The sequence below is a fragment of the Homo sapiens genome, chromosome X, assembly GCF_000001405.40.
Source record: "Homo sapiens chromosome X, GRCh38.p14 Primary Assembly".
Classification (NCBI taxonomy): Eukaryota; Metazoa; Chordata; class Mammalia; order Primates; family Hominidae; genus Homo; species Homo sapiens.
In genome coordinates this window covers 130,058,553-130,083,205 of record NC_000023.11, presented here as the reverse complement: position 1 = coordinate 130,083,205, position 24,653 = coordinate 130,058,553, and the positions used below count along the sequence as shown (strand labels likewise).

Sequence of the window (24,653 nt, the reverse complement as noted above, 5' to 3'; positions counted from 1 at the left end):
CAGCCTCTCACTCGTCCAAAGGGAAATTCAGACCTGAGAGGTTGAGTTGAGCGACTTCTCCCGACTTTTTGTTGGGGTGGGTGGAAAGGTGTGGGGGTGAGGGTGAGGGTGGGGGTGGGGCAAAGGCACGGCCAGCCCTGTGGGCTAACGGAAAGGAAGTAGGAGAGGCCTGGGTGTCTCCTGTGGGGGAGAGCGGTCATCAGGGAGGTCACCGTGGTCCCCCTCCCTTTCCTCCCCTTTGCCCCTCTCTGAAGTTCCTCATTTCTTTCCGGGCCAGGATAAGGTTTGCCCACCCCGGCACTGCCAAGGGAGTGTCAAGGAGGTGGAGTGCAGTGTGTGGCTTCTGCTATGGTGCATGGACACACCCACACGCACATCCACACACTCAGAACCGAGCCCAGGGGACCAAAGACGTGGCGCCTGGAAGTGGAGAAGCTCCAGTGATGGGGTGGAGGAGCAGAGCTGGCTGGCGAGGAGGGAGGTGGGAGGGCTGGGGCTGTGGGAGGCAGGCCTGGGTGTGACCACCCACAACACGCAGATGAGGCGCCCGGGCACTGACAGCCCTGAGGAGTGGCGACAGGGGGAACAAATGCAGGCCCGGACGCCATGTGACACCGTGAGCGCTGAGGGCACGTGGGGCGAGAGGAGGTGTGTTTGGGCTGCGGCAGACACAGAAGATTTCCTGGAAAAGGGGCCTGAGCCAGCCCCAGAGGATGGGGAAGGTTCCGCCTGCCCCTCCTCCAGTCGGGGCTCTCCTCACCAGTTCCCAGGGTGACAGTTCACTCTTGAAACTGAAAGCAAAGCTAAACCAAGAACACAAACCCACACACAGCACAGAGGCCACGCTCTCTGGTGGGTGGCGGCGGTAGTGGTGAGAGGGGGGTGCTGACGAAAACAGGGTATGTGGCCCACCTGTCCCCCAGTCTCCAGGCTCTCTGGAGGCTTGGCTCCATCTGAGAGTCCCATCCCTGAGAGCAGGGTAAGGCCACTGCTGGTCCTCACACAATACAACCCCCACAGCGAGGCAGGCATGGGTGTGACCACCCCCACTTCTTCCTCTGTAGATGTGGCCCCTCAAAGCTAACTGGCCCCCACTCCCAAGGTAAGATTAGGCTGACTTCACCTGGAGCCAGGCAGAGTCAGAAGAGCACTACAGAGTGGGTATACAGATACCCACAGGCCCCCACTCAGCCCCTCACACGATTCTTCCCCAAGCCAAGGGAGTTACAGGGATTCTCCATGCTGCTGCCTCGTCCACGAGGCCAGGCCAGGCGCCCTGACTCCCCCTGGGGATTAGTCTTCAGGGTGGAGAGAGCGCAAAGTTCCTCCATCTGGCAGTTTCTCCAGGGGAAGGGGAGGAGGCAGGGAGGGAGGCTGCATATCTTTGGGACTAGTGCGAGATGCCGATGCTGGTGACCCAGACGGGCACCAACACTCAGCCACTTCCCACTGGAGGCCATTCAGTTGACTTCCTCTCTCCTTCTTTCTTTCCCTGACCTCTTTCTTCTCTGTCGCTTTTCTTCTCTCATCATCCTCCCGTTTCGGCCACTCCTCTATTGGCAGTCTGCCTTAGCATGGCAGGGTCCCTCTGGTTCATAGGCAGTTCTGGCAACAGAGCTCAAGGAAGGTGACTTACTCACTGTCCCCATCTCTCCCTTCTCTCTAGGTCGCTCCTGTGGTTGGTCCAGCCCAGAATGCAGCCTTGAGCCTGGCTTAGGCCACCACCTACTCCAGCTCTCTCCACCCCCTATTTTACTGCAGCTCAGGGGGTAGGCTCTAGGCTCCAAAGTACCTGGGTATTGTCCCTTCATCAAGAAAGCCCCACAGCTCTGGAGGGCTCTGATAATCCCGTTGTCAGCTCTCTGAAAAGACAGCATGGCTATTACCCTACAGCCCAGTGACCTGATCTTTGAGTTCGCAAGCAACGGGATGGATGATGATATCCACCAGGTATGGCCCCAGAGAACAGAGCACAGTTAGCCCCTGTGGACAATCAGATAGACACAGACAGCCAGGCAGACAGCCAGGGAGCCAGCTGGCTGCACAGCTAGCCAATCAGCAAATATCCATCAAGCACCTACTATGCTCAGGGCACTGGCCCTGCTTGCCAGCCAGCCTGCGTGCCAGCCAGTCACTCATGAGGCTGGTCTGGAGTCACCGGGCAGTCATTTAGGGAGCTGGTTGCCCACATGCAATCATTGAGCCAGCCAAACATCTGCTAAGTACATCAGCTGGGCTGTTGGTTAGTCAGCAACATGGACCAAACGCATAAGGGGTACACTGACCATCAGATGCATTTTTCGGCCACTTCTCTTCTCTCAAAGTGTCACAGTGAGAAAGCTGTGGGGACAGCCACATAGCAAGAATGAGCACTGCCAGCTGAACTGTAGACTGGTGTCCAGGCCCTGACATTTTCAGAGTCGTCTTTTTGGCCCCAGCCTGAGGATTCAGGACAAGCTGGAAATGAGGTCTTTTGGTGGGAGGAAGTTGGAAAATAGGACAGGATTCTGGTGCTCACTGAGGTCCCCACTGCTCCATACCTTCCCTACACTGGCACGTTTTCTGTGCACTTAGATGTATGTACCCATTGAACGGTGTCCTGGCAGACTCATCACTACCCTCCATTCTCCTTCTTCCATAAAATGGAGAGAGAAGAGGCATCCAGGCACAGTAGAAAGAATGGAAGATTAGGAGTCAGGAGCCCTGGGTTCCGATCCCAGTTTGGCCACAATGTCACCTGAGCAAGTCCTGTCCCTTACCCTATTTTTTTTTTTTTTTTTTTGAAACGAAGTCTCACTCTGTCGCCCAGGCTGGAGTCCAGTGGCGTGTTCTCAGCTCACTGCAACCTCTGCCTCCCATGTTCAAGCCATTCTCCTGCCTCAGCCTCCCAAGTAGCTAGGATTATAGGCACTTGCCACCATCCCCGGCTAATTTTTGTGTATTATTAGTAGAGACCGGGTTTCACCATGTTGGCCAGGCTGGTCTCCAACTCCTGGCCTCAAGTGATCCACCCACCTTGGCATCCCAAACTGCTAGGATTACAGGCGTGAGCCACCACGCCTGGACCCCTATCCTATCTGACTGCTGTTTCCCCATCTTCACCAAGAGGCGATCCAACTGGATTATCTCCAAAGGGCATTCCAGTCTAACTCAGATGCTCTCTATTCTAAATCCTGTGAGGATGGAAAACTGTCCAATCTCTAGCTGCCTACCAAAGCCTGCCCCCTAGTGGCCTTTGAGCACTTTGAACTTTCCGTCTACCTCCTTGCCTTAAAGCAGCTCAATTTTATTGAACATATGTGGTGTGCCTAGCCTCGTGGAAGGCATCAGACAAGGAGAAAGGAAGAAAAATCTACCATACATGAGTTCTCAATGCTACTTGTCATTTTCCATTTGTTTCTAGTCCACTCAGCAACTGTTTCTTTTCTTCATAGAGGCTGTTTTTCACAGAAGCAGTTCTTACCTTCCAACCTATCCCTCCACCCTCAGCGGACAGCCTCTCCTCCAATCCACAGAGAAGCTCAAAGCCCAGGACGCCCTCAATTTCCCTCCCTTCTCTCTTTTTATCTGTAACATCTCCTGTTCTTGTTTCCTTCCCACTGGCCCAGGAGAAAGAAATGTTACTTTTCCTTGCAAGGGTGACTCCCAACCTCTGTACTTAATCTGTTCTCTCCTGCATCCCTTAAGACCTCAAACCATCCATCACTTCCTCTCTCTTGTATCTTTTATTTTTTATTTTTATTTTTTGAGATGGAGTTTCGCTCTTGTCACCCAGGTTCCAGCACAGTAGCACAATCTGGGTTCGCTGCCACCTCTGCCTCCTGGGTTCAAGCGATTCTTGTGCCTCAGCCTCTGGAGTAGCTGAGATTATAGGCACGCATCACCAAGCCCAGCTAATTTTTGTATTTTCAGTAGATACAGGGTTTCACCATGTTGGGCAGGCTGGTCTCGAACTCCTGACCGCAGGTGATCCACCCGCCTCGCCCTCCCAAAGTGCTGGGATTACAGACGTGAGCCACCGCGCCTGGCCTCTTGTATCTTTTAGACCTCAGATTTCTTTCCTCAACTTTGAACATCTTCAGGTGTCCCAACCCTAAAAGAAAACCTTCCCTCCCTTCTGCCCCCACCTTCAAAATTGCATCTTTTTATACCTTTTTAGTTCCTTTCTTCCCCCCAGGGTAGTCTCCACACTCTGTTTTTACTTTATTACCTGCCTTTCACTCTTTTTTCTTTCCTTCTTTCTTTTTTTGACAGGGTCTCACTCTGTCACCCAGGATGGAGTGCAGTGGCACAATCATGGCTCACTGCAGCCTCGACCTCCCCAGGCTCAGGTGATCTTCCCACTTCAGCCTCCCAAGTAGCTGGGGCAACAGGCACATGCCACTGCGCCTGGCTAATTGTGTGTGTGTGTGTGTGTGTGTGTGTGTGTGTGTGTGTGTGTGTAGAGAGAGAGAGAGTTTTGCTCTTGTTGCTCAGGCTAGAGTGCAATGGCACGATCTCGGCTCACTGCAATCTCCATCTCCTGGGTTTAAGCGATTCTCCTGCCTCAGCCTCCCAAGTAGCTGGGATTACAGGCGTGCATCACCATGCCTGGCTAATTTTGTATTTTTAGTAGAGAGGGGGTTTCACCATGTTGGTCAGGCTGGTCTCAAACTCCTGACCTCAAGTGATCTGTCCGCCTTGGCCTCCCAAAGTGTTGGGATTACAGGCGTAAGCCACCATGCCCGGCCTAATTTTTGTATTTTTTGTAGAGATGGGGGTCTCACAATGTTGCCCAGGTTGGTCTCAGACTCCTGAGCTCAAGCAATCCTTCTGCTCTCACGCCTCCCAAGAAGTGCTGGGATTACAATAGGTGTGAGCCGGTCAGGCTGGTGGCTCACACCTGTAATCCCAGCACTTCGGGAGGCCGAGACAGGCAGATCACCTGAGTTCAGCAGTTCGAGACCAGCCTGACCAACATGGAGTAAACCTGTCTCTACTAAAAATACAAAATTAGCTGGGCGTGGTGGCACATGCTTGTAATCCCAGCTACTCGGGAGGCTGAGGCAGGAGAATCACTTGAACCCGGTAGTGGAGGTTGCAGTGAGCCGAGATCGAGCCATTGCACTCCACCCTGGGCAACAAGAGGCAAAACTCTGTCTCCAAAAAAAAAAAAGAAAAGAAAAAGAAAAACAACAGGTGTGAGGCACCGCACCCAGCCCCTTTCACTCCTTTTAGGAAGCTACTTTTATTTTGAAATACATAATACATGCAAAAGGGTGCATAAATCATATTTAGATGTAGACATGTATTAAATGAACACCCAGGCCCTCACCACCCAAATTAAGAAATAAAACATTACCAGTCTCCTAGAAACCTCTGATACCTAACACTTAATGAGAGCTTAGTCTACGCCAGGCCCTGCTCTGAGTGCTTTATGTGTATTGATCTGTTTTAACAATCCTAGGGGGTCAATCATGTGATCACTCTCATTTTATAAATGGGGAAACTGATCCACAGAAAGGTTAGGTAACTTGCCCAAGGTCACAATGCTAGTGAGCAGCAGAGTTTGGTCTCAAGCCCAGGCACTCTGGCTCTAGATCAGCACAATCCAACAGAATTCTCTGGAATGAGGCCAGGTGCGGTGGCTCACGCCTGTAATCCCAGCACTTTGGGAGGCCAACGCAGGCGGATCACGAGGTCAGGAATTTGAGACCATCCTGGCCAACATGGTGAAACCCTGTCTCTACTAAAAATACAAAAATTAGCCAGCGGCGGTGGCCTATGCCTGTAATCCCAGCTACTCAGGAGGCTGAGACGGGAGAATTGCTTGAGCCCAGGAGGTGAAGGTTGCAGTGAGCTGAGATTGTGCCATTGTACTCCAGCCTGGGCAAGAAGAGCAAAACTCCATCTCAAAAAAAAAAAAAAAAATTCTCTGGAATGCTGGAAATGTTCTATGTTTGTGCTGTCCAGTATGGGGCCACTAGTCACACGTGGCTATAGAGCACTTGAAATGTGGCTAGTGCAATTGAAGAAATAAATTTTTAAGCTCTCCAAAGTTTTTATTTACCTCTAAATTTAAATAGTCACCCGTGACTAGTGGATATCATCATGGACAGCTCTAGATGCTGGGACCTTAATCACTATACCCAACTGCTTACCTCAGTCTGTCCTCACTGAGATCCATTGCAACTTGGCCTGGGACCCTAGCACTGCTCTGAAACTGATCTAGCCAGGGTGACTGACCATGGCCAAATCCAAAGGTCTTTTATCCATTTTTGTTTCTCTGGATCCCTCAGGAACACTACACAGAGAGGATCATTCTCATTCTTTTTGCATGGGAAAAAAAAAGAATTATCATCCACAAAACAGATCTTGAGACTAAACAATAACAACAAAAAGAATTAACATTCCCATGAAAGAAAATTTGGAAAATACAAAAAAGTAGAAAGGGGGAAAAAAATCATTCAAAACTCCATAATGAAAATAAAACTATGGCCAGGCACAGTGGCTTACGTCTGTAATCTCAGCACTTTGGGAGGCCAAGGTGGGTGGATCACTTGAGGTCAGGAGTTCGAGACCAGCCTGGCCTACATGGTGAAACCCCATCTCTACTAAAATACAAAAATTAGCCAGGTATGGTGGCAGGCGCCGGTAATCCCAGCTACTCGGGAAGGTGAGGCAGTAGAATTGCTTGAACCTGGGAGGTGGAGGTTGCAGTAAGCCAAGATCGTGCCACTGCACTCCAGCCTGGGTGACAGAGCCAGACTCTGTCTCAGAAAAAGAAAAGAAAAGAAAACTATGATTAACATCCTGGCATATTTATTTATTTATAGAGGTTTTTTCTTTTTAATTTTTTTTTAAATAGAGATAGGGTCTTGCTGTGTTGCCCAGGCTGGTGTGTGAACTCCTAGGCTCAAGCGATGCACCTGCCTCAGCCTCCCAAAGTGCTGGCATTACAGGCATGAGCCACCACATGCAGCCTCTATATGGAGTTTTTTTAAAAAAAACACATGCAGTCATACTGCTTTTTAATTTCGCTTTGCTTAATTTCAAAACACTTCTGTTCTCTAGGGGTTGAATTCTCATCTCAATTTTCTTATCTACTCCAAGGGATTGAACGACCACCAGCTCCCTTTTGAACTGTTAGACACTTATTTTTGACTCCCTGATAGGCGTCTCTATTTCAGATGTCCCAAAGGTACCTCAAGCTCACCACATCCAGACATTGTAGCCCTTATCTTGGTCCACAGCCTGCTCTTCCTCCTCCTGGGCCCTCCCTTGGCATGAGCAGTATCTCCATGTCCCTGTTGAATGAAGCTGGAAATTGAACCCCTCTCCCCCATCCAGGCAGTGACTGAGTCCTGACATTTCTACTTCTATAATGCCTCTGTTCTGTCTTCATTCCCACTATCATTGCCACAGACGGAGCCCGAAGATGTCTGAGCCCCTAACTCTGGCTGCGAACTAGGTCCCCAGCCCTGACTCTAGACTGAATCCCTCTTGTCCCCCGACTATAGGTTGAGCCCCTTGCCCTTGCCATCAGCTGGTCTATTCCCAATGGCCTTAGAATGAATCTAATCCTCATAGACTGAGCCCTAACCTGGCCACGGGTTAAACCATAACTACAACCAGTTAAAAATACTTGCCTGGCCGGGTGCAGTGGCTCACGCCTGTAATCCCAGCACTTTGGGAGGCCGAGGTGGGTGGATCACGAGGTCAGGAGATCGAGACCATCCTGGCTAACACGGTGAAACTCCATCTCTACTAAAAATACAAAAAATTAGACAGGTGTGGTGGCGGGTGCCTGTAGTCCCAGCTACTCGGGAGGCTGAGGCAGGAGAATGGCGTGAACCCAGGAGGCGGAGTTTGCAGTGAGCCAAGATTGCGCCACTGCCCTCCAGCCTGGGCGACAGAGTGAGACTCCGTCTCAAAAAAAAAAAAAAAAGCTTGCCCTTGGCTGGGCATGGTGGCTCACGCCTGTAATCCCAGCACTTTGGGAGGCTGAGGCAGGTGGATCACCTGAGGTCAGGAGTTCGAGACCAGCCTGGCCAACATGATGAAACCTTGTCTCTACAAAAACTATAAAAATTAGCCAGGCATGGTGGCACACACCTGTAATCCCAACTACTGGGGAAGCTGAGGTAGGAGAATCGCTTGAACCCGGGAGGCGGAGGTTGCAGTGAGCTGAGATCATGCCACTGCACTCTAGCCTGGGCGACAGAGCGAGGCTCTATCTCAAAAAAAAAAAAATGCTTAAAGGGCTGGTGGTGCAGAGCTAACCCATCTATTCATCAAGAACCCACTCAAAGCATCACCTAATGAGGCTGGACCCAGAGTTATATCATCCTATACAAAGGACAGTCCCTGATGAACCCAAGAATAAGGACTTGCACAGAGGGCCAGATTCTGGTAGGGAGGGTTTGCTGGAAGAGCTGGGTGGGTCTTGAATCACATCCCTGTCTTCTCCATAGCTGGAAGACCCCTCTGTGTTCCCAGCTGTGATCGTGGAGCAGGTACCCTACCCTGATTTACTGCATCTGTACTCGGGACTGGAGTTGGACGACGTTCACAATGGCATCATAACAGACGGGACCTTGTGCATGACGCAGGATCAGATCCTGGAAGGCAGTTTTTTGCTGACAGGTCTGTTCCCTTCCTGGGCAGAGAAGGTGTGGTAGAAAAAGGGGCTGTGTCTTTAGGGAACAGCAGCCCACAATGGCCTCTAGTAACCCCGTGCAGAATGGGCAAGTCCACCAGCCAAAAAGTTGTGCTGCTTCACAGAGGAGGGAACCATCTTAGTAGATTCATGGTCTGTGGAAGTGGGGTGGGACAATGAGGAGTGAAGACCAGCTGAGGGGGTGGAGAGTTAGGTAAGGAGGGGTGCTGGGCCCTTCCTGGCTGTCCCTCAGTACCTCTGGTCAGGGTCCCCTGTTTCTCCCTCACTTAGCACTCACTTCAGGGTCAGCCCGAAGGATGCTTACCACCATCCTTTCTTCGGGCTGGCCCTGATTATAGCTGTACCCCCTGCCTTGTGCCCTGAGGGAACTTTTCTTCTCTCCTCCCACCATGGAACCCGGACCAGATGACAATGAGGCCACCTCGCACACCATGTCAACCGCGGAAGTCTTACTCAATATGGAGTCTCCCAGCGATATCCTGGATGAGAAGCAGATCTGTAAGTTTGAACCCCAGTGCCTGAACTCAAGGCAACAAAATAATTCCATTTAAAAATATGAAATCCATGTATTGGTTTCTCAGGCATGTGTGCACACAGGTATACATGCACCACACCCACCGATATACATATGACTTTTATCTTTTTGTATTTTGGTGATGGGTTTATTTCAATTAGCACGATGTCCTCAAAGTCCATCCATGTTGTAGCACGTGTCAGAATTTCTTTCCATTTTCAGGCCAGGCACGGTGGCTCACGCCTGTAATCCCAGCACTTTGGGAGGCTGAGGCGGGTGGGTCACCTGAGGTCAGGAGTTCGAGACCAGCCTGACCAACACGGTGAAACCCCATCTTTACTAAAAATATAAAAACTTGCTGGGCGTGGTGGCGCAAGCCTGTAATCCCAGCTACTCAGGAGGCTGAGGCAGGAGAATCACTTGAACCCAGGAGGCAGAGGTTGCAGTTAGCCGAGATCGCACCATTGCACTCCAGCCTGGGTGACAAGAGCGAACCTCTGTCTCAAAAAAATAATAATAATTTATTTCCATTTCAGGCTGAATAATATTGGCCAGGGTGCCTTTCTCAGGCCCCTCTGCTCTTTTGCTTAGCTCCCAGGAAGACTGAGATATGCAGCATGTGGCTCTTTTAGAAATAAGTGATCCAGGCCGGGTGTGGTGGCTCACACCTGTAATCCCAGCACTTTGGGAGGCTGAGGCGGGTGGAATACGAGGTCAGGAGTTCGAGACTGGCCTGGCCAACATGGCAAAACCTCGTCTCTACTAAAAATACAAAAATTAGCCTGGCGTGGTGGCACATGCCTATAATCCCAGCTACTTGGGAGGCTGAGGCAGGAGAATCGCTTGAACCCGGGAGGCAGAGGTTGCAATGAGCCGAGATCACACTATTGCACTCCAGCCTGGGCAACAAGAGCAAGACTGTCTAAATAAATAAATAAATAAAATAAAGAAATAAGTGATCCTTGCCCATCCTACCAGGCTCCTAACTCCCCAGAGGGCCCCCAAGGCAGGCTCTTCCCAATGACCCCTCAGGCAGATGCACAGGAGGGTTCCCCCAGATTGCCTTCTCCCAAGGGGTGGTGTGGTACAGTGAGGGAAGGCAAGCCATAAAGCTGAAATCTGAGAGATTTCTAGTCCTGACTCTCACCAGTATTCATCCAGGATCCAATAATGGGTGCCTATTTGTACCGGGCACCAACTTGCTGTGTGACCTTGGGCACATGACTTCCCCTCTCTGGGTCTGTCTCAGTTTCCTCATCAGGAAAACACAGGAATGGGGCTACATGATCTCTAAGGCCCCTTTGAGTCGTAAAATGAGCCAAGGACTAAATCAAGGTGGCCCTTTACCTGGGGTGCCGCCTAGAACTTCCCTACCACCAACAGTGGGCTATAAATGTGGCAGCTGTAATTGGGGCCAGCTTGTGCCCACAGCTCTGCAGATGTTTCCTCTCCTCGTGGTACAAGCCACATGAGGCATTTTCAGGTGTATCCTGTGTCTGGGGCTGGGGGGATGAGCCCCCCGCCCTCCCTTGGAACCTACCCGTCTCTCCAGCGCTGGGAGACCCCGCTCCAGCCCTGCCTGGGCCCCGCCCACCTCAGGTCTTTCTTCTTGCAGTCAGTACCTCCGAAATGCTTCCAGACTCGGACCCTGCACCAGCTGTCACTCTGCCCAACTACCTGTTTCCTGCCTCTGAGCCCGATGCCCTGAACAGGGCGGGTGACACTAGTGACCAGGAGGGGCATTCTCTGGAGGAGAAGGCCTCCAGAGAGGAAAGTGCCAAGAAGACTGGGAAATCAAAGAAGAGAAGTAAGTGGGGGAGAGTGAGTGTATGTGTGTCTCCGAGGGGATGGGCGGGGCGTGGGGGGGCGGTCAGGGCTCATGGATGTGTTAAGAGGCCAGCTCTCTGGTGTGACAGAGATGGACCAAAAGGCCTCCCTTCTGTAAAACCTGGCCTCATCCGTTAGTCTGCCTGTAGCCTGACATTTCCCATGCTGCCCCTGTCTGCCTGGGATCTGCATAAACTCTTTCAGAAACATTAATGATCTCGATGGGTTGAATCCTAGGCTGGGAGTTTGGACACCAGGCTCGGCCCCCTGGCCAGTCCCCGGACCTCTGGGGCCTCAGCCTATAAAAGACCAGTCATGCCGGGTGCTTATCTCCCTTCTGCAGAGCTTATAAAGCCGAGGCCATATATGAGAGAGGACTTTGGGCTTTCCCAAGCCCCGGTGTTATTGATTTACTCAGGCGATGGCTGCTTGATACTGCCTTGTCAGCATGGCAACCGAACCTCAGCACCGCACTTACCTGCACAACACTGGTGCCTTTAGGCTGCCTTTCCGTATCAGAAGTTAGGCTAGGCAGATTCTGTTCTCACAAAGGTGACTTATTTGCAAGCACCCGGTTTCTCCACATTGTAGCCATGTTGCAGTGCTACCCTGGGGGCCTGAAAATGAGGGTGCAAAGGCCTGAGGGCTGTGGCTGTGGAGAGCGATCTGGGGCCTCCAGCCCTGGTGACCTGCCTCCTCCTTGTTGGCTTTGTCACAGCCAACTTGGCCAGCTCCCGGGCCCTCTCTTGGGAGCTGCTCCTCATCCTACTCACCTTTCCCTCATAGTCCGGAAGACCAAGGGCAACCGAAGTACCTCACCTGTCACTGACCCCAGCATCCCCATTAGGAAGAAATCAAAGGATGGCAAAGGTATGGACAGCTGGGACTCAGGTGAGGTGGGGAGGGAGCCCCTTCCCTGCTGCCAGGGTGCCCCAGCTGCCCAGGCTGCCCCTCACGGCCTGCCCCTCTGCAGGCAGCACCATCTATCTGTGGGAGTTCCTCCTGGCTCTTCTGCAAGACAGAAACACCTGTCCCAAGTACATCAAGTGGACCCAGCGAGAGAAAGGCATCTTCAAACTGGTGGACTCCAAAGCTGTGTCCAAGCTGTGGGGGAAGCAGAAAAACAAGCCTGACATGAACTATGAGACAATGGGGCGGGCACTAAGGTAGGAGCTGTTGGGATGATGCAGAACCCCTGCCCTGGGGATCACCAATCCTTCCTTAAGTCCAAGGAGTCCTCCTCGCTTTCATGGAGACCTGATTGATCCTAAGGAAACGAGTCTCGTAACTTTCCTCTTAGCTTGCTCCTATGTCTGTTCCCCAGGCCCCCTCTGGCAGGAAGAGCCCCCCTCCTCTTGTATCTGACCTGGCCTTTTTTCTTTTCCTTTTTCTTTCTTTCTTTCTTTCTTTCTTTCTTTTTTTTTTTTTTTTTTTGAGATGGAGTCTTGCTCTGTCACCCAGGCTTGAATGCAGTGGCGCAATCTCGGCTCACTGCAACCTGCACTGCCTGGGTTCAAGCGATTCTCATGCCTCAGCCTCCTGAGTAGCTGGGATTACAGGCGCATGCCACCACGCTCAGCTAATTTTTTGTATGTTTTTTTTTTATTTTTATTTATTTATTTATTTATTTTGAGACGGAGTCTTGCTCTGTCACCCAGGCTGGAGTGCAGTGGCACGATCTCGGCTCACTGCAAGCTCTACCTCCCGGGTTCACGCCATTCTCCTGTGTCAGCCTCCCAAGTAGCTGGGACTACAGGCGCCCGCCACCACGCCCGGCTAATTTTTTTGTATTTTTAGTAGAGACTGGGGGTTTCACCATGTTAGCCAGGATGGTTTCAATCTGCTGACCTCGTGATCTGCCCACCTCGGCCTCCCAAAGCACTGGGATTACAGGCGTGAGTCACGGCGCCTGGCCTCATTTTTTGTATTTTTAATAGAGACGGGGTTTCACCATGTTGGCCAGGCTGGTCTTGAACTTCTGGCCTCAAGTAATCTGCCCACCTTGGCCTCCCAAAGTGTTGGGATTACAGGCGTGAGCCACCGCGCCTGGCCTCCTTTTTGCTTTTTATAATGGAAGAGCAGTTCAGCACCCCCTCTTCCCCAAGAAGGGCTTTCTTCACATCTGCAAGCCAGAGACCCGGGGAGGTGGGCTTGAGTTGTCCTAGAGGTGGTCTCTCAGGCTGGGGGATTGCTGTTCCCGCCATCCATCCCCTCACTCTCAGTTCTCTCCTTCAGTCATTCCCTGTCCTCTGCCCCAAAGCAGGGGGTTGGAGTGGGGTGACATCTGAAAACCTTTTGTGATCCTTTGAGTTCTCAGGGGGAAATCTCAGGAATGTCATAAAAGCCTTCCAAGTCCAGGTGTTGACATATCCTTTCCCTTGCCCTTGGGCCCTCAGCTGGCTCCCCAGCCAGCCTCACTCAGCCTCATGCTTGCCTAGCCCTCGGGGAGGAGCACTGGGGAGATGGAGGTAGAAGGTCTCCCACCCAGCTCCCGGCTAACTCCCAACTCCCTGCCCCTCTTCCTCTAGATACTACTACCAAAGAGGCATACTGGCCAAAGTGGAAGGGCAGAGGCTGGTGTACCAGTTTAAGGAGATGCCCAAGGACCTGGTGGTCATTGAAGATGAGGATGAGAGCAGCGAAGCCACAGCAGCCCCACCTCAGGCCTCCACGGCCTCTGTGGCCTCTGCCAGTACCACCCGGCGAACCAGCTCCAGGGTCTCATCCAGATCTGCCCCCCAGGGCAAGGGCAGCTCTTCTTGGGAGAAGCCAAAAATTCAGCATGTCGGTCTCCAGCCATCTGCGAGTCTGGAATTGGGACCGTCGCTAGACGAGGAGATCCCCACTACCTCCACCATGCTCGTCTCTCCAGCAGAGGGCCAGGTCAAGCTCACCAAAGCTGTGAGGTAAGGGCACCCAGGTCAGCATGAGTCTTCACATAGTACATCATGTTGGGGTTCAGTTTTCTTTTTTTTTTTTTTTGAGATGGAGTCTCGCTCTGTCACCCAGGCTGGAGTGCAGTGGCATGATGTCTGCTCACTGCAACTTCCGCCTCTCGGATTCAAGTGATTCTCCTGCCTCAGCCTCCCGAGTAGCTGGGATTACAGGTACCCACCACCACACCCAGCTACTTTTTGTATTTTTAGTAGAGACGGGGTTTCACCATGTTGACCAGGCTGGTCTCAAACTCCTGATCTCAAGTGATCTGCCCGCCTTGGCCTCCTAAAGTGCTGGGATTACAGATGTGAGCCACCGTGCCTAGCAGGGCTCAGTTTTCAACTTCTTGCCAAGCTCTACTCTGTCGCCAGGCTCATGGGATCCTCCCAGAGCCATGGAAAAGCCAGTAGGGCACTTGTTGGTCAAGAGAGGGGAAGTCACTTGCCTGAGGTCACACATCCGGGGGCTTACACGAGAGGGGCTCCCCAGGGAGCCACCAGGGCGTCCGTGTCCTGGCCCATCCTCCTAAGCCTCCTCCATTCTAGAAAAGAAGCAACAGAGAATGTTTTAGAGCTGCCTGCTGTGAGCCCCTTGGGACCTCCAGGCCCACCCGGCTAGCTCCAACTACTTCTCATCCCCACTAAGGGGCCTCCGATTTTCCCTGAGAAGGTTGGACTTTGTTGGGTTATGTGTTTGGACCTCCCACTACACTGGCACAGTGAGACACCCTTTCGAGGAGGGCAGGCAGTCACTACGCTGGCGCAGTGAGACACCCTTTCGAGGAGGGCAGGCAGTAGAGTGGAATGGTGAGGAAGATGAGCTCTGGGATCACAAGACCTAGTTGTGAGGCCCTGCTGTAGTGCTTACTATGTATACTGGCTGTGTAATCACTAGAGCGGGGACTCACATCAAGGCCTTGTGAGACCCCAGCATCCCCACTTGGAAGAAATCAAAGGATAACATAGGTATGGCTGGTCTTGGAGCAAGTTATTAATACATAACCTCTCTGTGCCTCACTTTCCTCAAGCTGTAAAATCAGATTGTTCTTATCCCACTTGTGGGCTGTTTTCAGGATTGAGTGAAATGCCACATGTCAATCATTTAGAATGATCCCTGACCTATATACCTATTCTAAGTACTTAATAAATGTGAGCTACAGCTGAGCATGGTGGCTCACACCTGTAATCCCAGCACTTTGGGAGGCCGAGGCAGGTGGATCACCTGAGGTCAGGAGTTCAAGACCAGCCTGGCCAACATGGTGAAACTCTGTCTCTACTAAAAATACAAAATTAGCCGGGTGTAGTGGTGCTCGCCTATAATCCCAGCTACTTGGGAGGCTGAGGCAGGAGAATCACTTGAACCTCAGAGGCAGAAGTTGCAGTAAGCCAAGATTGCACTACTGCACTCCAGCCTGAGTGACAGAGCAAGACTCCGTCTCAAAAAAAAAAATAAATTAAAAATTAGCTGGGTGTGGTGGCACACACCTGTAGTCCCAGCTACTTGGGAGGCTGAGTCAGGAGGATCGCTTGAGCCCAGGGCTTCAAGGCTGCAGTGAGCAGTAATCGTGTCACTGCACTCCATCCCGGGCAGCAGAGTGAGACCCTGTCTCTAGAAAAAGAAAAAAACAACAAACAGCAAATAAATCGACAAACACCTTCAGCTCCATTCCTCTCGTGCCCTCCTTCCTAACCAGCTGAGGGACACTTCCTGCCTTAACCAACTCTGTTCTCTGTTTCTTCTCAGTGCATCTTCAGTGCCCAGCAACATCCACCTAGGAGTGGCCCCCGTGGGGTCGGGCTCGGCCCTGACCCTGCAGACGATCCCACTGACCACGGTGCTGACCAATGGGCCTCCTGCCAGTACTACTGCTCCCACTCAGCTCGTTCTCCAGAGTGTTCCAGCGGCCTCTACTTTCAAGGACACCTTCACTTTGCAGGCCTCTTTCCCCCTGAACGCCAGTTTCCAAGACAGCCAGGTGGCAGCCCCAGGGGCTCCACTGATTCTCAGTGGCCTCCCCCAACTTCTGGCTGGGGCCAACCGTCCGACCAACCCGGCGCCACCCACGGTCACAGGGGCTGGACCAGCAGGGCCCAGCTCTCAGCCCCCTGGGACTGTCATTGCTGCCTTCATCAGGACTTCTGGCACTACAGCAGCCCCTAGGGTCAAGGAGGGGCCACTGAGGTCCTCCTCCTATGTTCAGGGTATGGTGACGGGGGCCCCCATGGAGGGGCTGCTGGTTCCTGAAGAGACCCTGAGGGAGCTCCTGAGAGATCAGGCTCATCTTCAGCCACTTCCAACCCAGGTGGTTTCCAGGGGTTCCCACAATCCGAGCCTTCTGGGCAACCAGACTTTGTCTCCTCCCAGCCGCCCCACTGTTGGGCTGACCCCAGTGGCTGAACTTGAGCTCTCCTCAGGCTCAGGGTCCCTGCTGATGGCTGAGCCTAGTGTGACCACATCTGGGAGCCTTCTGACAAGATCCCCCACCCCAGCCCCTTTCTCCCCATTCAACCCTACTTCCCTCATTAAGATGGAGCCCCATGACATATAAGCAAAGGGGTCAGGGCAAGTGTGACCCACCAGGCAAAATTGAGCAGCATTTTCATAGGGACCGACTTCAGTAGCACACCTGCCCCTGCATTTCAGTGGGATGTCAATACACTTGACCCCAAGTCCCCCGGCCCTGCCTGGTGTCACTGTGGCCAAACAGTGCCCAGCTTAAGCATCCCTGGCATCAGACTATGGCCTTCAAGAGCACTAGGGCATATGCTTTTGGCAGCATAACGGGCTGACTTGGTGATGGAGGGAAAAAGCCTTGAGCCAGGCAGAAGTTTGTGGCCAGGGTTTGTGCAGCAGCTTTGTGAGAAGAGCCCTTCTACCTGGCTCTATCTCACTGGCTGCATTCCCTACACAGGGAATTTACTACCCTATATGTGAATATCCCTGTATGTACTTGTGTGTACTTGTTGGTCTGTATCTTAGTTTCTTTGGGGAGGACAGGGCTGTAGCTGTGAGGTCTTGTCTCCAAGGGTGTGTGTATGTCTCCGTGGATCAGCCACAGGGATAGGGATTTTGTTTTTAAGGGAAAGCATTCTCTAATTCCCTTTGTTCATGCCGAGATTCAGTTGCTCTGAGACTATGGGGTACAAGTTTGATCCTCCGAATCTGGAGATGTTGTAGAGCTGGAACGAGTGCAGAGTAGGAACGCTTTGATGCGCATGCACATTGGGGAAGATGCGCTCCTCAGGGACACAAAGGCCGAGTGGGGTAAAACCACGAAGGGAGGGAAGGGAAGTCAGCTCTGGGAGCAGCCCTCACTGGCTGGACCAAGGTACTCTTCCTGGAGTTTGCCGTGTTAGCAACCACAGTCACCTTGCAGTCAGGCTGGAATCTTGGGCCACCCCAAAGTGCTTTGCTGAAGGATTTAGACGGGGATGAAGTGCCCTCCAGCCTCAGAGCTAGCCACAAAGCCCCCAGAGCTGAATTCATTGAGTATTTGTGCCTAGGGCTTGGGCTGTTTGTGTGATACCGGCCCCCCGCCAGACAATAGCCTTTGCTGACACCCCAGCCTACTTCCCCGATCCTGGGCTCCCTCTTGATTACTTTTTGACATTTTCCAGCTGTCAGGCATCACTGCGGCTAGTCCGGCAGCGACCTAGATGGGGTCCACCCCCATTCCTGCTCAAGCATGGGCACCTACCACATGGTTTCTGCTGCTCAGCCTGCCTGCAACTCACCTCGAAGGCGGACCAGCCTGCCTCTGTGATGACTGCAGCAGACCTCCTTGGGTGTACCAATGCCCCTCATCTCCCACTTTCACACCTAACCCTGACTCCTTCACCAAGAAGACGGGAGTCGGCAGCCAGGAGTTCCCGTGGCACCTCTCTCTCTTCGTGGCTCCCTGCTTCCCCCTTCCCTCTTTCCGAGGAAGGGTCAACCTATTCTCTCTCAAAGCCAACCCCTAGGCCAATTGCCTGGATCTCCTCCCCTCTCCCTTCTTTAAACGAGCTTGCCTCCCTCCTGCCAAGTTTGAGGGCAAGGCTAAGAAATGTCAGCCACGGAAACAACTCTATTATCTGGTGACTTTGGGTAATGTGAATCAGTGCCTGAGGACCTTTGCTGTGTCCTTGGTACAGAACCATCCACTTGACCTAACTACCTCCCCTGGCCGCGCTCTCGCTCTTCTCTTCTTTGTTAAGCCAACAACTATCACCCTCTCCTACTCTTCTTCTCCCTGCCCCCTGGAGGGCACTGTGTTTGGTTGTGCAAATGTATTTACTATGCGTGTTTCCAGCAGTTGGCATTAAAGTGCCTTTTTCTAATAAAATCAGTTTATTATGACAGTTTCCTGATGGTTGAAAGTAAGCATCTTGATAAAGGGTCACCATTAAAAAAAAATTTTGCATAAAGGTGCTGCATGGGTTGGGGTAGCCCCGCCCCCACCTGAAAACTGGTTTCTGCCACCCCTACTCCAACTCCATGGAAACTCATTGCTGGAAGGTCATCAATGACCTCATGGTGAAATCAAATGTCTTCTTCACAGTTCTCGGGCCCCCGTGAGCCCACACTAGCTGGGCTCTCCTGCATCCCCCATCACCCTTTCCGGGGCTGGTTCTTCACCTACCACTTCCAACGTGGCTGTTCAAGAATCTCATCCATTTTGGGCTCATTTTGGCTCCTCGGAGATGGGTCCTAAATCTAGAGCTCCAGTCCCAACCTTTCTCTTAAGCTCCTGGCTCACATTTCCAGCAATCTGCTGAACATTTCCATGTGGGTGCTTGTCAGCTCCTTAAAGATAGCCCCTCTATCAACAATGTTTTTGTTTGTTCGTTTGTTTTTGAGTCAGAGTCTTGCTCTGTCGGCTGGAGTGCAGTGGTGCAATCTCGGTTCACTGCAACCTCTGCCTCCCAGGCTCAAGTGATTCTCCTGCCTCAGCCTCCTGAGTAGCTGGGAGTACAGGCACATGCCACCATGCCCAGCTAATTTTTGTATTTTCAGTAGAGCCAGGGTTTCACCATTTCGGCCAGGCTGGTCTCGAACTCCTGGCCTCAGGTGATCCACCCACCTTGGCCTCCCAAAGTGCTGGGATTACAGGCGTGAGCAACCACGGCTGGCCAACAATGGATTTTTAAATTATTTCCACGCTCACAAAAAACCTTTCCAAGATGACGGGTTGATGGGTGCAGCAAACCACCATGGCACATGTATACCTATGTAACAAACCTGCACGTTCTGCACATGTATCCCAGAACTTAAAGTATAATAATAATAATAATAATAATAATAATAATAATAATAAAAATCAAGCAAACAAAAAGGCCGTCACGACTTGCCTATTTCTGTTAATGGTGCCACTGTTTTCCTGACCTCTTAAATTTGAAATTTCAGAGCTGTCTGATCGTTGCCTTCACTTCACCCCCATCCCCCTCTCCCGTCTCCCGAAGTCCAGCTTGTGGTTTGCAATGTCCGTAAAACCTCGCCTTTCTTCCACATTCCCAGAAGCCTCCACCCTAGTTCAAACTACCCAAGACACACAGGGGCTCCCAGCGTGATCTGTCTCAACCCCTCCCATTTGCCCTTTGATAAAAAGCCCTCACTGACTCCTCCTGGCCTACAGGTAGGGGTGATACTCAAAATACTTAATCTCTAATCCTTTCTAAACTTAGCCCTTTCGTTGCTGAAGCCAGTCCAGGGGTCCTGGAATAGGGATGGGGGAGCACTTGGGCTCAGGGCAGTAGCTCCGGAAGTATTTTAAGCTTAGCATCAGCCCTGTCTTCAGGACAAAGCCCCAAGTCCTTGGCCTGCCATCAAGACCCTTCACCTTTGGGTCTTAACTGACTTCCCCAGTCAACTCACCCTGCTCCTTCTGCCACCACTCATACCCCAAGGCACTGCTCCAGTCAAACTGATGGATTTGCTGGCCTGTGAACATGCCTCTGTTTACAATTTCCAAACTCTGTGCTTTTGCTCTTATTATCTACTACATATATTCTAAGCATTTTAAACCTGGAAACCAAGATCCTCCATTTATCTTTTACCTGCTCTAGGCAATACAGACAAACTCAACATTATTTACACACTCCTGTGTTTTCTTAATGAATATTCTTCCCTTCTATGTATCTTTTCCTTTAGAAATACAATCCATTGGCCATGCGCGGTGGCTCATGCCTGTAATCCGAGCACTTTGTGAGGCCGAGGCAGGCAGATCACGAGGTCAAGAGATCGAGATCATCCTGGCCAACATGGTGAAACCCCGTCTCCACTAAAAATACAAAAATTAGCTGGGCATGGTGGTGTGTGCCTGTAGTCCCAGCTACTCGGGAGGCTGAGGCAGGAGAAACACTTCAACCCGGGAGGCAGAGGTTGCAATGAGCCGAGATCGCGCCACTGCACTCCAGCCTGGCGACAGAGTGAGACTCCATCTTGAAAAAAAAAAAAAAAAAAAAAAGAAACGAAAAGGAAAGAAAGAAAATCCATCCACAGCCAGGCACAGTGGCTCACGCCTGTGATCCCAGCACTTTGGGAAGCTGAGGTGGGCGGATCACCTGAGGTCAGGAGTTGGAGACCAACATGGCCAATATGGCGAAACCCCATCTCTACTAAAAATACAAAAATTAACCGGGCTTGGTGGCACGCACCTATAATCCCAGCTACTGGGGAGGCTGAGGCAGAGAATCCCTTGAACCTGGAGGTGGAATTTGCAGTGAGTCGAGATTGTACCTGGGTGATCAAAGCAAGACTGTCTCAAAAAAAAAAAAAAAAAAAAAGAAAAGAAAAAAAGTACAATCCATCCTTCAAGATCTGATTGGTTCCACTCAATCAGAATGTCCTTCCTATCCTGCTAGTACCAATTAAATTGTGTCCCTCCTTCAAGACTCGATTCATGGACTCTGCCTCCCCAGACCAGTCTGTCCTAAGTGAGTTATTTAAAACTTATTGCAATTGCCACTCTTTCAGCAACTGATCATGAACACCCTGTGACATCTATTATAATGCAAACTGTTACTTAAATCTTCAATGACCTGTACCTATTTAGTGTCCCCAATTAGCACATTACCTCCTTGAGGAGTGGGAGGGACTGTATCAACCACGTAACATGGCACAGTACAAAGGATCAAGGTAATGGTTACTGATGGAGCCGGTGGGAGATGGGGACCAAACTTTGAGGTAGGTGACCTCTGACCTCCCCTCTGCACAGGCACTCACCCCAGGTGCTCCACTGCTCTGGGCCTGCCCTCCCTGGCTCAGTGCCCTCATGGTATCCCCAACCCCACCCCCCCATCTTAGCACTCAAAATTTGTTACTATTTTGAACATCCTCTACCCCTAAAGCAACTTCCCTGTCCAGTTTCTTTCCTACTCCAAGTGTGAAACTAGCTAAACCAATTAACCTGTGCTGATACAGTTATGGGAGAGGGCTAGAGGAGAACCTCAGGAGACAGGTTCATTTTAACCAGAGTCATGTGGCAGTAAGTCTCTGCCTTTTCTTGGTTTAATGGAGTCAGGAGTCAAGAGATGACCCTCATCTCCCAGCAGCTGATATGTTACTCCCTCCTCTGGGTTCCCACAGCACTTTGTTTTCTTTATTTTTTTGAGATAGAGTCTCCCTCCGTTGCCCAGGCTGGAGCGCAGTGGTGCGATCTTGGGTCACTGCAGCCTCTGCCTCCCGAGTTCAAGCGGTTCTCCTGCCTCAGCCTCCCAAGTAGCTGTGACTACAGCTGCGTGCCACCACGCCCGGCTAATTTTTGTATTTTTAGTAGAGAACGGGTTTCACCATGTTAGCCAGGCTGGTCTCGAACTCTTGACCTCAAGTGATCCGCCCACCTCAGCCTCCCAAGGTGCTGGGATTACAGCCCTGAGCCACCTCACAGCACTTTGTAAATACCTCTTATGGTAGCACTTAGCACAGTACAGTTCTTTAATTACGTGTTTATGTAGGGTTCCCCGCCAATAGGCTGTGAGCTCCTCAAGGACAGGGACTGTGTGTTAGTCACTGATATATCCCTAGTGCCTAGCACACAGTAGGTTCTTAATAAATGCTTATTGAAAGAAGGAACTGGTCCTGATTTTAATTCTGAGACTTCTGCCCTATGCTATGGCAGGCAAGAGGAGAGGGAGGAGGACAATCCACACTTGGGAGCTAAGGCAGCTTTCTGCCCGCTCCTATAACACTGCAGGCGGCTACTTCCTTTGCCCCTGGAGTGTTAACAGACATCCCCGGATCACAGGGTCCATGAGGAGCCCAGGGCTGCTTGCCAGCTGTGCGTTGCTGTCACCAGGTGCCACGTGCAACTCCCGAACTCCCGCCCTTTGCTGCTGCCCGCTTCCAGGGACTGCCTCGCCACTATTTCCTCACCCCTGGGTGGGGCTGTGCGGTGGAAGTGTCAGCTCCGGTGGGTGGGGCGGGACAAGAAGTTATTCTGACGGTCACAGGCCTTTCTGATCCCATCTTGTACTCCAAAAGAGGCAGTTGCCTCCAGCTCTGAAGCCGCTGGACCTGGGGTGAGTGAGCTCCTTCCCCTCCCAGACTGAGGTCCCAGCCTCCGAGAACTTCGGGCCCCGGCGCGCCGGACGTGGAGGCCGACGTCCAGCAGGTGGCGCTGTCGAGCCAGCGATGGCGGGAGAGTGGCCCGGCGGGGCCCGGGAAGGGAGGGGCAGCCAGGGTTGGGCCTACCGTCCCTGGCGGAGGCGGCCGCGGCCGCGGCTGGCGTCTTCCGGTCCCCCGATCTTGCCCCTGCGCCTGCAACTGTCCCCGGATGGTTCTGGCCGCCACCAAAGCCCTCCGCTGCTCCGGAGCTTCGAACTTTCCCCTCGACCCCAGCCCCCTTCACTTTCCAGGGGGAATTTAGCCGGCCGCCGAATGCGCTCCCCCATTGGCCAGCCGCGCTCTGGCCCCGCCCCCGGCGCCCCCTCCCTCAGCCTCGCGGACCAGCAGGTGAGCACGCGGAGTCGCAGTCACCCGGCCTGCCCTCCCCTCCCCTCGCGCGCCGCCGCCTTCTACCGTGAAGCGGGAGAGCGATCGAGGCGCCCCAGACAGCCGTTTGCTAGCGGAGGGACCTGACCGTCCGCCGCACGAGCCCGGCTCCCAAGGACCGGCGCGGGGCCTAAAGACGTCGCCCCCAGAGGCCGGACGCTGCGGCTCGGCCGACCCCCGCGCGGTGGCAGCCGGAGCGCTAGGGAAACGAGTGGAGCCCCGGCCCGGATCCTGCTGCGGGATCCAGAAGGCCCGAGCACTTCGCGTCCCCCTGCCCAGCAGTTGAGCAGACGCCCCTGGGGCGGACCCCACCCTTCCCAAACACACACACACTGGTCTTTGCATGGGCAGGACACAGTTAAACACCCACCAGGCCTCCCGGTTATTGGGTTAGAGTATGGACCGAGCAGGAGTTTACTGCCCCATTCACCACCGCCCCCAACCCCACCTACCCCAAATAGGGATGCGGAGACTATCCCTCCTCCCACCAAGACTTGAACAGAGCCTCTCTTTCAAGCCCAAAGAGCGTTCTGATAAGACCCTCATTAACCATAGGTTCGTGAGCTCGGCATGAAGGAGGAACTAATTTTGGCTAAACAGATCTTTATGGTCCTCAGTGTGATGCTCTGTCAGTAGGTGGGTACATTGGCCTCCATTTGGCTGATGGAGCAATTAAGGCTGGGAAAGATTAGGTTCTCGCCCAAGGTCAGCCTAGGTAGTTAGGAGTGGTGCTGGCTCTTTCCTCTACACCATACTAAAAGGACTGGGAGATCATTTAATAAGAGGCCACCAAGCCATCCTCACCCCAATCCTGACCGGGGATGTAGATTTAATGCCACGGCCCATACTTCCTGCCTTGATCTTTCCAACCTGGCAGAAGGGCAGTGGGACTCCAGGTAAGCCGTGGGCAAAGAACCCCAAAAGCAATAAAACAATCTGCTGTTTGGTTTTGCTTTTAACTCCCCTTGTATCCAAGCCTTTGCTCAGATTGTCCTCTCAGTTCAAACACTCTTCCCTGCCACCTCTAATTCCTGCATTTCTACTTTTTAAAGTATCAACTAGGCATCACCTCTTCTAGGATGTGTTCCCAGGGCCCTTGCCCATGCTTCTGAGCTCCCATAGCATCCTGGGACTAGTTGAATTCTTATACTCACCACATGGCTTTATAACCTATCAACATGTCAGATTTCTTGACTTAACTGCAAGTTCCAAGCACAGGATCGACCTGAATTCAGAACCACTGTGGGCTTGTTTGGGAATCTGACAAAGGTGGCTATTGCATAGGGCCTTGGGATCAGAAAGTGGGGAGAGGACGGCCAATGAGGAAGATTAATGCTATGGTTCAAAGAGGATGATGCTTGGACCTGGGTCGAGCCAAGCTTCTGAGGCTTGAGCAAAGACAGCAGCTTAGAGTTCACTCCTGAGGACGGCTGGACTCCAGCCAGCCAGACGCACAGATCCCTTCGCCTCTACACTCTCTAACAGGGCTCTCCAGACTCGAAAGCCACAGTGAGAAGCCCTAAGAGAATAGAGCTTCAAAGGGCCTCATCCCAGGCCTCTCGAACATCCTCTTCCTCTCAGTCACTGGTGCATTCTGGAACCAGCAATCACAAGAATCATAGCTTCTACCACTGTTTTTCAGAAGTGGGAGGAAAAACTGCAAAATCCAGGATGGGCATCTTGCCTTCATGGTAGCTCGGTGGCAGGAAAACAGAACCATGGAAGGCCTGCACCGTGGGTGGGGAG

General features: G+C 52.2%; 1 protein-coding gene across 5 annotated transcripts in view, besides 7 other annotated features; it reads left to right on the top strand.

The window, feature by feature from the left end:
- Nucleotides 1–19,251, top strand: part of ELF4 (E74 like ETS transcription factor 4) — a 47,904-nt gene extending 28,653 nt beyond the window's left edge. For 3 of the 5 annotated variants that reach the window (NM_001440766.1, NM_001421.4, NM_001440765.1), the window contains exons 2-9: nucleotides 1,667–1,950; nucleotides 8,454–8,625; nucleotides 9,065–9,157; nucleotides 10,789–10,980; nucleotides 11,787–11,870; nucleotides 11,974–12,166; nucleotides 13,529–13,906; nucleotides 15,681–19,251. In NM_001440766.1, the coding sequence (NP_001427695.1) occupies nucleotides 1,876–1,950; nucleotides 8,454–8,625; nucleotides 9,065–9,157; nucleotides 10,789–10,980; nucleotides 11,787–11,870; nucleotides 11,974–12,166; nucleotides 13,529–13,906; nucleotides 15,681–16,485 (1,992 nt within the window). In that variant the 5' untranslated portion in view covers nucleotides 1,667–1,875 and the 3' untranslated portion in view covers nucleotides 16,486–19,251. Of the gene's footprint in view, nucleotides 1–1,666; nucleotides 1,951–8,453; nucleotides 8,626–8,997; nucleotides 9,158–10,788; nucleotides 10,981–11,786; nucleotides 11,871–11,973; nucleotides 12,167–13,528; nucleotides 13,907–15,680 lie in introns of those variants that run through there. The other 2 variants (NM_001127197.2, XM_011531308.4) reach the window with 2 other exon arrangements.
- Nucleotides 103–152: an enhancer, noted in NCBI's record as "active region_29935". NCBI's record gives its function as "activates an Ori minimal core promoter by ATAC-STARR-seq in GM12878 lymphoblastoid cells {active_cell/tissue: GM12878}" and the evidence as "EXISTENCE:reporter gene assay evidence [ECO:0000049][PMID:35858748]".
- Nucleotides 583–812: an enhancer, noted in NCBI's record as "active region_29934". NCBI's record gives its function as "activates an Ori minimal core promoter by ATAC-STARR-seq in GM12878 lymphoblastoid cells {active_cell/tissue: GM12878}" and the evidence as "EXISTENCE:reporter gene assay evidence [ECO:0000049][PMID:35858748]".
- Nucleotides 963–1,112: an enhancer, noted in NCBI's record as "active region_29933". NCBI's record gives its function as "activates an Ori minimal core promoter by ATAC-STARR-seq in GM12878 lymphoblastoid cells {active_cell/tissue: GM12878}" and the evidence as "EXISTENCE:reporter gene assay evidence [ECO:0000049][PMID:35858748]".
- Nucleotides 3,057–3,351: a silencer, noted in NCBI's record as "tiled region #15346; HepG2 Repressive non-DNase unmatched - State 12:CtcfO". NCBI's record gives its function as "represses a minimal TATA promoter and a strong SV40 promoter by Sharpr-MPRA in HepG2 cells {active_cell/tissue: HepG2}" and the evidence as "EXISTENCE:reporter gene assay evidence [ECO:0000049][PMID:27701403]".
- Nucleotides 22,308–22,377: a silencer, noted in NCBI's record as "silent region_20988". NCBI's record gives its function as "represses an Ori minimal core promoter by ATAC-STARR-seq in GM12878 lymphoblastoid cells {active_cell/tissue: GM12878}" and the evidence as "EXISTENCE:reporter gene assay evidence [ECO:0000049][PMID:35858748]".
- Nucleotides 22,398–22,697: a silencer, noted in NCBI's record as "silent region_20987". NCBI's record gives its function as "represses an Ori minimal core promoter by ATAC-STARR-seq in GM12878 lymphoblastoid cells {active_cell/tissue: GM12878}" and the evidence as "EXISTENCE:reporter gene assay evidence [ECO:0000049][PMID:35858748]".
- Nucleotides 22,718–22,977: a silencer, noted in NCBI's record as "silent region_20986". NCBI's record gives its function as "represses an Ori minimal core promoter by ATAC-STARR-seq in GM12878 lymphoblastoid cells {active_cell/tissue: GM12878}" and the evidence as "EXISTENCE:reporter gene assay evidence [ECO:0000049][PMID:35858748]".